Source organism: Homo sapiens, chromosome 4 (assembly GCF_000001405.40).
Source record: "Homo sapiens chromosome 4, GRCh38.p14 Primary Assembly".
In the NCBI taxonomy this organism is placed as follows: domain Eukaryota; kingdom Metazoa; phylum Chordata; class Mammalia; order Primates; family Hominidae; genus Homo; species Homo sapiens.
In genome coordinates, this window is record NC_000004.12 from 25,781,771 (window position 1) to 25,794,325 (window position 12,555).

The 12,555-nt window shown below is 44.8% G+C and overlaps 1 protein-coding gene across 9 annotated transcripts in view; it reads right to left on the minus strand.

Annotated features, from left to right (window-relative positions):
• SEL1L3 (SEL1L family member 3) overlaps positions 1-12,555 on the minus strand; it is a 149,603-nt gene that overhangs the window by 67,807 nt on the left and 69,241 nt on the right. For all 9 annotated transcript variants that reach the window (XR_007096387.1, XR_007096388.1, XR_001741182.3 and 6 more), the window contains exons 12-15: positions 8,685-8,804; positions 6,454-6,594; positions 2,458-2,520; positions 472-648 (exon numbers count right to left, since the gene is read on the minus strand). Coding sequence is in view for 5 of the 9 variants with exons in the window: in NM_001297592.2 (NP_001284521.1) it covers positions 472-648; positions 2,458-2,520; positions 6,454-6,594; positions 8,685-8,804 (501 nt within the window). In the remaining 4 variants the exon portion in view is untranslated. The remainder of the gene's footprint in view (positions 1-471; positions 649-2,457; positions 2,521-6,453; positions 6,595-8,684; positions 8,805-12,555) is intronic.

Genomic DNA, 12,555 nt, shown 5'->3' on the forward strand with positions numbered 1-12,555 from the left:
TTTGCATGGTGCTTGGCACAGAGGAAATGCTTAATCAACACTAAAGATTGCCATTGTGTTTTCATTATTATTAAAACTGGTTTCACACCAGGCAATCCTATCTGGACTTAGTTCTCTTTGCTTCTAGCAAGATCAGTCTCTGCTCCATCTCACGCTTATTCCTGTCCTGCGTCATCTCCCACTCTTCCCTCTAGCTCAAGCCTCCCTCCTCCAAGAAGCCTTCCTGGCTGCTTTGGCTTTCACTGTTTCCCAGCTCCAGAGCTTTGGGTCATGCCATTTGCCACACACTTGGCACTTGGCTAGATGCCACCCTTTCCTCTTCACTATCTTGTTTTCCTACGAGACCCTCTGAGCTCCTCGAGGACAGGGACTGTGTCTGGGGTTGGGTCTGGTGCACACAGTGTACCTTCAACAAATGCTTCATGATCAAGTGACTGACTAGTTGCAGAGTGGGTCTCAAGTCCTACTCACTTGATTCCTTCCAGGAACTCCAGGGAAGATGCCATCCAAATGCAGGACTCCAAGATTGTATGACGCATCTGGGTTCCCCATTTCTTCTGCTTTTAACCAGTACTTTGCTGCTTTGGCGTAATTTTTCTTGAATTTGTGGTAATACCATCCCAGGCCATTGACTGCCTGATGCAATCCCTGAATTTTGGAACAAGAAAGAAATTAACTTTAGAAAAATGAAATCTAGAGAGCTCTGGAAGCAATTATTGTGGAAGCATTCTGCCTAAGTCTGAACAAAACCTTCCCTTTCTCTTATTTTGGAGCAGATGGCATTAAAGAAAAGCTAAGTGCTAGAAAACACAAGCCTGCCTGAGAGTCTTCCCAGGTGTGTTTCACCCGACTGCTGCTGGGATTCTGCCTTCCATCTCTGCAGCAATGTTATCCCCCAAATCATTGTTCTGCTCCTTTGGGCTCTTACGCAACACGCTTGTCTACAAAAGGCCTCTGATTGCCCTGCCGCATCAATAGTGCCCTTGAAATTCATGAACGCTCAACTGAGGCCTGAAACCTGCCCTGACTGGGATGGTTTCTAGGTGATCCGCCTGCCCATCTGTTGATTCCTCTGCCCTGAACACCAACACGCACTCTATGGCAAGCAGCAGCAACATCCTACTTGCACAGCACAGGTGCTCTCTCTTTGCATGGTTCTGACAGTGGGTTCAGGGTCTGGGAGAAGCAGAAGCAGAAGGGGATGGCAGCGAAGAATGAGAATCATATAACACTTTTCAGGCCATGACTATTCCAGATCAATAAAACTGTATTTCCTCATTACTTACCTAAGCTCTGTTAAAATTGATACAGAATAAAGCACATTAGACATCAATTCACTACTAGGATGGCTACAGAGATGCAAATTTCACAGCTTCCAAGAAGCCCCCTTATGGCCCCATTTTAGGGTGCTCTGGAACCAATGATTTCCATGACTACCATTAAGTTACTTTTCTACTTCTGCCCTAGAGTTTCTGTTGGGGTCAGGAGTTGGAGTACAAATCAGGGGGTTCCCTCTTCCTGGGTCATGTGTCCTCTTGACAACACACAGATGGAGGAACAATCTTTTAGGTCTCTCATTCCATGCTACAACTTCCTGCTGTATGCAACTTTGAACTCCTCAAGAGACAACAATGAGGAAGAAAATTCAGCATGGTCATTTTAGGAGTCTTCATCGTTAAGGCAAATATTGGCAGCCTTGGGAGGCACATCCAGCTGCCAAAAGGGCTACAAGGTGCCTTGTCTAGGTGTAGATTTACGGTAGTTTCTGCAAATCTATTTATTTGGACATCGGTATGCATGCACACATGAGTGTGCACATGTGGCTGTGCATGCATTGGGCATATGTGTGTATGTATATGTGTGCATGTATGTGCATGTGTGGGTGGGGGCCCCTCGAAAGCAACATTGTAACCTCCATTCTGTAGAGCTGTATAGGAACTAGCTGACTTGAAGATACCACTTAAATGTAGTGACAAAAGCAAAATAATTCCCAAACCTAGCAATAAACTTAATAAACAGCCCTGTTATCAATGCACAGGAAACAAATGGGAAACGGGCACCACAGAGTTAACCTTCAAAGGAGTTAGGCTTCTGGTTTCCTGAATTCAATGGCATTAATACCCATCCAATTTCCAGGGGTCCTGCTGCTTGTTATCAGGGCAGCTCCTGATTATAATTTTAGCCTTCAAACAAAATCAACCCGAATGCTATTGACTGGAAGGTGAATTCAGCTTTTGAATTTTGCTGCCCCCATTGTGGCAAGTTTCTGTATGTATTGTAACTAAAAAGTGACTAATCACTGCAGTGGGGGTGCCGTGCTGGCGACCAACTGCTCACCACCCCGTTTCCACCTTAGGGCTTTGTAGGAAGAGGCTGGCCATTTCCTCTTTTAGACGTGCGAGAGCGTGTGGGAGTGTGTGGTGGAACTGTTTCCCTCTGACAATATGCATGTGTTACCTTGGAAGCTGCTTTCTTCATCAGCTCTAAGGCAAGCCGTCTGTTCTTTTTTACTCCTTGACCCTAAACATTGATAAACAGCGATGATTACAAAGAAAATACAACCAGACTGCACACATACAGACACTTTAGTGTTGGATATAAAATACTTAAAAATAAAACCCTAACTTTCTTCATTTAAACCCAAGCTTAGGGATTTCTATAGGTAGTGCTATTTCATTATCATCATCATTATTATTTTGCTTATATTTGTGGAGCAGAAGCAACAAACCTCAACTTCGCAGCTTAGCAGTAATCGCTGTGTCAGTTGCAACCCTGTCAATCCACAGGTACTACTGGGGGAAGATATGAATCAGGTTAAATGAGTTTGGTCATCCTGGATGCTTTCCTCTTGGGATTACCTAATTTGCCAGCCAGAAAAAGCACTTTATCTGTGTTGGACAGTCAAGAGTTACCAGGTTGTCGCTTGCAGGCTTCATCAGCCTTGGCTGGGATCTCCAGGGTGGAACATTGTTGCTTCAGAATCAGCTCAAGAACTGGCTCCACAGAAGATAGAAGGCAGCAGAATTGGTTGCCTCAGATGTAACTAACAGAAACTAACAAGGTTCTTCCAGCAAAATCAAGATTTTCCAGATGAGGTGGTTTGTCCACTACAGAGAGACATGGGCTTTGGGGTTCTTGTCATAAGAGAGAAACTCTGTGGAACACACTGAAATGTCTGGAGGACAACTGGGGAGATGGTGTGCTCAAGGGTAGAGTGGAAGGAGGTCCTTGAGTATCTCTTGACATAGATCTGAAAGCAAAGATGCCAGGCAAGGGGGTGGAGGTGACTGTAAACCACTGCTGCTTCCAAACTCAGAATTACTGATACCCCCAATCCCCATGTGCCACATGGGGTCCTCCTGGACTCAGACAACAGTTGACAGGATCGCCTGTGATTTGGATGGGAGAGGGTTTTGCAACAAACACATCTACAAACTCTATTTAAACGCTTAGCTCTATAGTAAATGGAAACAGCGCTAGTTACCGTTCCTGTGTGAATTAACGTTGGCCAAGCACTGTCTAAGTGCTTCATCAACTCTACCTGAGGTGCTGCTGTTATTCTCATCTGAGAAATATGCCCTTAGTCACACAATGGGAAATGGGGGCAGAATTTGAATCCAGACAAATGGACTCCAGAATCCAAGCTTGTAACCACCGCTCTCTATTTTCTTCTGCCTATTTCAGTTCATAACCTCCTTGTAGGATCCAGGAACCATGCAGGATATGCTTGACTGTGTATCTTTCAGGACCCCAAATAAAACTGAATCCAACTAAAGGTTAAATTACATATGCCAAGTTTCTACTTGACTTTAACTTGCTTATTTAATAAAACCAATGAACTGAAGCAAAGTGGAAGATGAAAATATTTTTCAGAATGGCACCACTGCTTCATTTAATTAGGGAGGAAGAGGAGAGGGAAAAGGACATAGAAGGACACTTGGAGTAACTGGAGAGGGGAGGAGACAAGCTTTCTGGACTTCTGGAAAAGCATCAGAAAGACCAGAATCACTGAACGTTAGCGCCTGGTTGAAGTATAATAAGTTTATCTTCTCCAACTCTTTTTTGTTTTGAAGAAATAAAACGGGGGCCCAGAGCAGTTGACTTAGCTAAAGTCTCACAGTTAGAGCTGCAATGACAACCCACACACTCTAGAATAGGGATGTTTACACTATACCCGCTATTGAGTCAAAAGTGGGATGACTTTTCTTGCACAAAGACGATGTACTCTACACGAATCTGAGTAGTATTAAAAGTTGTTAAATGAGAGAAATGTGAAGCCTGGTACATCGTAAGTACTCAGTAACTATCCACTGAGTGAATGGATGGAGGACAGTTGCTGCTGTCAAAGTCAAAGCTTTATCCTCATGTGGCTGCAAGATAAGATGGACTCAACTACCTGGAATGAACCACAGCTGCCATCTTGGTACCATCTTTGCATAAAGCCCAATGCCCCCACACAGTCAAATGCACGTACTGTTCTTTGCATATGGAAAGCCCATTTTCAGCGTGGGGTTCTTTCACACAGAATACACTTGAGGATATCTTCTAGCCACAGGCGGAAATCTTCCCTGAGATGCTAGTAAAGGGCTTCCTTCCTCCCACCCAGACAAAACTTAGAAAGAATGCAGAACCCCCCTCTCTGCAAAAAAGTCTTACGGTGTGAGAAAGCAAACCCAGAGAAGGCATTATATCACTCCCAGAGTCATTTATTTCTGGATTTGCCTCTCCCTGTAGGTTGTGAGATCTTGGTAGGCAGAGATAATGTCTGATTTGTGCCTTTATCTTTGGACAGCGATCGGCCTCCACTCTGGTGGACAGGTGCTGCTCCTCTGTGCTTATTGATCTAGGTCCTCTGCCTTCCTCTCTGTGTATGAGCTCCCTGAGGTCATGGACGTGACTCATGCATCCATATGCCCCTCCATCTAGCCCAGAGCCTGGCATTGGTCAGCCCTGAATGGAATGGATGCTTATTGAACAAACACATGAATGCATTCACATATGGCTCAGATTCAAAATATTTCTATGTTTATTTGACAACTGGAAAGAGAAGGTCTGGGACCTCAATTTGGAAACCACAACAACCAATAGGTTTTCAGGCTTTGATAGGGTAGGGAGGGTTAGAAATGTAGCCACAGTCATGGTTAATTACTGAGTGGCCACAGCTGTGTTCTGGAGATGGGCCTGGCCTTGTTTGAAGATGCTTGCTTTTTGGGGGCAGCTGCTTTCTTTGGATATGGACATAAGTCCACGAATTTCCTTACCAAAGCCAAAGCTTTTTACTTTTCCAAGATTGATGAATTGATGTCTCTGTATTTGGGGATGATGAACACAGACTGTGAAGCCAGATTTCCTAGATCCCAGTCCCAGGTCAGAAACATACCAGTTGGGTGACCTTGGGCAAATTACAAAACCTTTCTCTGTGCCTTTGTCTCCATGTAAATGAACAGCAATCATAATACACCAAGGTACCAACCTCGTAAGTTGGTTGTGAGGATTTAATGCACTAATACATGCAAAGCAGGTAACAACCACTCAATCAGTGTGAACTATTACTAATTTTTTTTTTCTGAGATGGAGTGTGGCTCTCTCACTCAGGCTGGAGTGCAGTGGCACGATCTTGGCTCACTGCAACCTCTGCCTCCCAGGTTCAAGCAGTTTTCCTGCCTCAGCCTCCCAGGTAGCTGGGATTACAGGCACAGCCACCACACCTGGCTAATTTTTGTATTTTTAGTAGAGACGGGGTTTCACCATGTTGGCCAGGCTTGTCTTGAACTCCTGACCTTAGGTGATCCACCTGCCTTGGCCTCCCAAAGTGCTGGGATTACAGGTGTGAGCCACCGCGCCAGGCCATACTATTTTGTATAAAGAACACGGCATTTTATGGTCCCCAAAGTTCATTGGTCCTATTATCTCACTCAATTTGTGGTCATTGCCACTGTCCCATGAGATGAGGTGACTCCAAGGACATACCTGATGGTTGCAGAGGTGGGACTTTCACGCTTGTCTCCTAGGCTCTTCCCACCCCTCTCCTGTTGGCTTAAAACCAAGATCTTTATTTTCATCAGCAGGATTGTTGGGATCCAGCCCAATTACACACTATGTTTAAGCTGTAATTAAAAGAGAACTCTGCCTGGTGGCAAACTTGCAGTGCCTGTGGGGGCTGGCGGCTGAGCGCCAATCAATAAAATACGGGTGTCTCCTCCAGAATGCCGTGGTTCTTGCGAAAGCACAGAGAATCCAGGTGCCAAACATAAGACTAATGATTAAAAATGAGAACAGGGAACTGCTTCTGACTCTGCCTTTTTAGCCAACATTCTTTTCCATCAAGAGTGACAGAAGCATATACTAAATTTCTTCAGTTATCGACTCCCTGTTTGCCAGCCCGCCCACAGGAAACTGCTCAGGAGTCTGATAAGAATTGCACAATTTCAGCACGAATTAAGTGATTCTTACCTTGAATAGCACAATGGCATAGTCATAGATTAACGCAGGATCCTCCGTCTCCAGGGCGCCCTTGGCGTACCACTCAATTGCTGCTTCGGGATTCTTGGCCACACCTTGCTGCCCCCAGAACAGCATCTGGGCCAATCGTTGCTTAAAGATAATAGCAATTTAGAACAATGACTTTTCCTGTATAATGCTTAACACAAGATTTTGAAAGGTGGGAGAGCAAACCTACTTTACGATGTTTTAGATTGAGAACCAAGGATTAGATACACTTTATCTTCCAACTGGAGGCCAGAGCCCTGAATGTGGACTTATGTAAATACAAGCCCTTAATGCAAGCCAGAAATGGTTCGTGTGTGTGTGTGTGTGTGTGTGTGTGTGTGTGTGTGTGTGTGTGTGTGTGTATCTACTGTACCCAGGACCAGGGCTAGCTGGAACTTCGTCAATAATCAGAACTCCTCAAATGGCACTCTTTTGGGAGGTATTGCCCTTTCTTTTGGCCCAGCGATTGGCATGGAGGTCTCTGCACATCTGTATCATTAGGGCATCCTTCTATAGCACTGATCTCTCATCTTATCATTTGTCTACATGGCTGGCTCCAACATCAGACTGGAGGCTGGAAGCTCTTGGGAGGGAGGAACCTCAAGATGTTACTTATCTTTGTCCCTGTCTGTTAGCCCCCCAACCCAGCAGAGCTCAGCAGGTCATAGAAGCTGCTGAACAAAGACTTCTTAGTGAACAAAGGAAGAAAGAAGTGCCTATGGTTAGAAAAGTTAATGCAAGCTCTGGCACACCCAGGAAATGGCTCTGGCAGAGTCATTCCCAGAGCTATACATTGGAATTCCTTCCTGTACTAGAAAGACTGCAGACCAAGGACATATGCCCAGGAACGTGGCCAGAGCAACGTGTGTTAACATTCTAGTTCCACATGGGTCCTTTGTTTTCCTTCCTTCTTTCTGCTTCTCCTCTCATCTCGTTCTCTTCCCTTTTCCTCCCCAATACTTATAACTTCCAGCAAAGTATCGCCTGAAATGTGAGGAAGACCCCTATAGAGAGGAGGGAGACCTGTTATAGAAGAGCCTCTTGGGCCAGGTGTGGTGGGCCTTAATTCCTGCACTTTGAGAGGCATAAGCAGGAGAATTGCTTGAGGCCAGGAGTTCAAAACCAGTCTGGGCAACATAGCAAGACCCCATTTCTACAAAAAAATTAAAAATTAGCAGGGCATGGCATGGTGGCACATGCCTATAGTTCCAGCTACTCGGGAGGTTGAGGCTAGAGGATCACTTGAGCCCAGGACTTTGAGGCTGCAGTGAGCTATGATCACGCCACTGAGCTTCAGCCTGCCCAACAGAGTGAGACCCTGAATCAAAAAAAAAAAAAAAAAAAAGCCCCTGTACTGTCTGCTTTGTCAATGCCTGTGACTCCTTTCTTTTTTCTTTCCCTTTCCCATCTCTGGGCTTCAGCCTCCTTAGCAGCCCCAGAGACTCTTCCCGATGTTGCTGCACTCACAGGGAGCACTAAGCCAAAACTAAATCCTTCCTATGGGAAGGAGGCTTCCTCCTGGTGCAATCAGCCTTCACAGGCTCCCACAAAGGGCTCCTCTTCATAGTGAAATCAAAGCAGGGAAGCAGAGAGGGTGCTTCCCCAGCCGTCTGCCCTTTCTCGTACCTCTTAAAAGTCCATCCAAAGACAAGAGATGTTCAAGAGACAAGGTTGATCCTTTTGGTCCAACAAGCCATAAATGACTTTCTATTGCTCTCCTAGCTGAGTTCATGGTCTTCTGGACGCTGTCTAATTTCCCCTGCACCCCAGGGTGCATCTTGTTTTTCTATCTGATGGATGCATCAGTGCACCTGATGGTACTCTTTAGAGCTGGTCATAAATATTGTGGCTTTCCCTCTTTCTGGGTGAGTGGCAGAACTTGAAGTCAAGAGGGGCCACGTGATTTGCATTGGCCAGTGAAATATCCCACTTGTGGGCAGAAGCGTTAGCCAGCTGGTAAGGCGCTATGGCCATGGCCCGACTGTAATGGTTTTGGAAACCTCTGTCAGCTTGGACTCTTAAGGGACTGTGACAACTATGGCCTGCCCCTGACAACCCCTATTGGACATGCAGTGTGAGTGAGAAATAAACTGGCATTATTTTAAGCCACTGCAGTTTGAGATGTTTCATTACCACGGTATAACCCAGTCTATCATGGCTGACAGAATCCCCAAGACAGTAGCCTGCGTTTTTACCTGAGCTGCTGCATTGCCTCGGGTAGCTTCATGCTTCAACCACATAAAGACATCTCCATCTTCTTTGGTTTGTACCTTGAGTATTTCATCATCTTTTAGTCTAATTGTTTCAACATATGCCTGAGAAGGAAGGAGGGAAAGAAGGAAGGAGGGAAAGAAGGAAGGAAGGAAGGAAGGAAGGAAGGAAGGAAGGAAGGAAGGAAGGAAGGAAGGGAGGGAGGGAGGGAGGGAGGGAGGGAGGGAGGGAAGGAAGAAAAGAAGGAGAGAGGGAGGGAGGGAAGGAAGGAAGGAAGGAAGGAAGGAAGAAAGGAAGGGAGGAAGGAAGGAGGGAAGGAGGGAGGGAAAGAAGGAAGGAAGAAAGGAGGGAAGGAAGGAAGGAAGGAAATATCCAAATGATATAAGCACGCAAAAGACATGACATTATTCTTAAACCAGCAATTGCTCAAGAAAAACTATATGAATAATTGAAATATGAGGTGTGCCTACAATGACATAAGGTCAAATTCTTTTTAAAGGAATGTATCACATCTTCTATATCTAAACGGTTGTTTGTTCCTATCAAAGTATTTGCCTTGAGAAACCGAAGTTATTTCCACATCTACTTCTATTGCTCAGGCTTGTTTCGAAGTCCACTTCGTGCAACTGATTTCAGAGCCAGATTATACACATGCAAAATCAAAAAGGCAAATCAATATTTTCTAAGTATAACCTTATTTTTGATTCTAACGTATTACTATCCTGCATGACTAACCTCTTTTATTTCGCAGGTTCTGCTTCAAATATCTTTTGGCTATTTCCAAAAATTAAATCTACCCTGAAAAGAAGAGGGCATGTTAACTCTGAGGATGCAAGAAAGAATATGCTAGAGGCTTTAAAGAAGAACCCAAAGGGAAAGTTCACAAAATGTTTAGAATTTGCACACAGCCTCCCAGGTATCTGACTCCTTTGAAGAAGATAAAATTCATTTTGATGTATAAACTTTCACTGTTTATTAAAAATCCAGTCCTGTTGTTCCACGGTCTCTCTTTATACATAATGAAGTCGCTCTAATAGTGCCATAAGGGGGATACTAGAGAGGGCTCCCCATGCCCAAAGCCATGCCACAGGCAGATGGTGAAAAAATTGGGTCTGCACTAGTTTGGAAAAGAAGCCCCAGAGAAGAAGGAGCCAGGCCTGATTTTCTTTGTTAGTTAATTAAGAAGAGTATTGAGCACTTTGGGAGGCCAAGGCAGGAGGATCACTTGAGGTCAGGTGTTCAAGACCAGCCTGGCCAATGTGGTGAAACCCCATCTGTACTAAAAATACATAATTTAATGGGTGTGGTGGTACACACCGCTAATCCCAGCTACTTGGGAGGCTGAGGCACGAGAATCGCTTGAACCTGGGAGGCAGAGTTTGCAGTGAGCCAAGATCACACCACTGCACTCCAGCCTGGCGGACAGAGCGAGACTCAGTCTAAAAAAAAAAAAAAAAGTACTGAGAGTCACAAACTTGAGTCTGCAGCCCCGTTCCTCAGAATGTCTCTCAGCTGCCTCTTCTACTGGCCTCGTGAAGCCAGGGGTCCTTTCCAGGGGGACTCGGGGGCTGAGATTTGGTGATTGTGCTAGGCTCAAAACCCAGCCAGCAGCCATTCCTGCTGGACAGCTAACCTGAGGAGGCCACCAAGTTAACAGTAACACTTAGAATAACGACTTTTATTGAAACCAACTATATGCTCAGTGTTTGAGATACGTGGTATTTTTTTCCTTTTTTTCTTTTTTTCCACTTAATCCTCATAACAAAGCTTCGATCCAGGTATCACTGTCCCCAGTTTACAGGCCAAGAAACAGGCTCAGAGGGTGAAACCATGAACTCCAGGTGAAACTATAGAACTGGCCTTGCCAGGTTGGCTTGACTCCAAAGACACAGCTCTCTGGCGCTCCCATGGGATGTCGCCCTCTAGTGAGAAGGTGCTGAAATCCAATCTGGGCACAGACCACTCTATCTGGTCCACGCTTGGCCAAGCTTATGGCCAGTGTGTATGGAGGGCAACCCATGAGCGGGTGCTTCAGCTTAAACTCCAGAGGACACTGTCCTGGGTGGGGAGCCTGGAATTGTGCTGAAGCCTGAGCTGCCCTGAGAAGGAGTTCTCAGCTGAAGGTTTTCTGTTCATCTGTTTGGCAAATGAGTGGTGGAGCCTAGTTTTGAACCTAGGTCTTTCTAGCTTATTGCACTGTAAAAAAGAATGGCTAAAAGGTTGGGTGCCTTTGATGTAGCAGATGCCATGCTAAACTCCACTTATGGATGCAGAAATTGAGTCTCAGATAAAGTAGCTGGCCCAAGGCCCACAGGTGGTTAGTGATCAGTTAGAATTCAGATCCCCTCAGTCTGATATGGAAGGTGCTCTTAATGTTTTGTTTTGTTTTTTATTTTTGGTTGTTTTTCTTTTTCTCCTTGTTTTGTTTCCTCCTTGAATAAAGACATAACTCATGAAGACACAGTTCCTACCCTGCAGTGATTGATATTCTTAGGTCTTTCTGTCAGTGATATTTCATAAGAACCATCATGGATGATGTGCCAGGCACTGTCCTAATTGTTTTGCCCAGATTGACTCATCAAATCTTTGCAACCTGATAAGACAGTCACCATGAATATCCTCATTTCACATATGTGGAAACGGAGGCCCAGAGAGGTTAAGTAACAAGCCCAACATCAGATAGTTCTTCAAATTGAGGAGTCAAATCCAAGCCGGCTGGTTGTGGGGCCCACATCCTTTGCCCAGCCTTACCATCGTGAGAAGTACTCATGTATCTGGGTGGTGACGTAAATGGTGACTGTGAAGAGGAAACATGTTTGTCCTTTTTTCTGAGACAGGGTCTCACTCTGTCACCCAGACTGGATTGCAGTGGCACGATCATGGCTCACTGCAGGCTTGACCTCCCTGAGCTCAAGTGATCCTCCCACTTCAGCCTCCCGAGTAGCTGAGACCACAGGCATGCACCACCAAGCCCAGCTATTTTTTTTGTATTTTTTGTAGAGACAGGGTTTCTCCATGTTGCCCAGGCTGGTCTTGAACTCCTGGGCTCAAACGTTTGCCTTTTGTTTCTGTGTCCTAACCTGGCCTGCCCCACTGCCCTGCTGGAATCACTGAGCTTTGCAGCAGGGTGGGACCATTAAGAGCACAATTTTTCATATCAGATGGAGGGGATCTGAATTTTAATTCACCACTACTTACCTTAGGCCTTGGGCTCGTTACTTTATCTGAGACTCAGTTTCTGCATCCATAAAATGGAGTTTAGTATGGCATCTGCTACATCAAAGGCACCAACCTATGAGCCATTCTTTTTCACTGTGCAAAGAGCTAGAATGACCTAGGTTCAAATCTAGGCTCCACTACTCATTTGCTGTGTGACTTTGGGCAATTTCTGACCTCATAAGGTTGCATGAGGATTAAATGAGATTGTTTGTCTGACAAAAACAAGCAATGGAGAAAGGATTCCCTATTTAATAAATGGTGCTAGGAGAAATGGCTAGCCATATGCAGAAAATTGAAATTGGACCCCTTCCTTATATGTTATACAAAAATTAACTCAAGATGGACTAAATACTTAAATGTAAAACCCAAAACTACAAAAACTCTAGAAGAAAATCTAGGCAATACCATTCAGGACATAGGCATAGACAAAGATTTCATGTGAAAATGTCAAAAGCAATTGCAACAAAAGCAAACATTAACAAATGGGATGAATTAAACTAAACAGCTTCTGCACTGCAAAAGAAACTATCATCAGAGCAAACAACAAACCTACAGAATGGGAAAACATTTTTGCAACTTACCCATCTGACAAAAGTCTAATATCCAGAGTCTATAAGGAACTTAAACAAATTTACA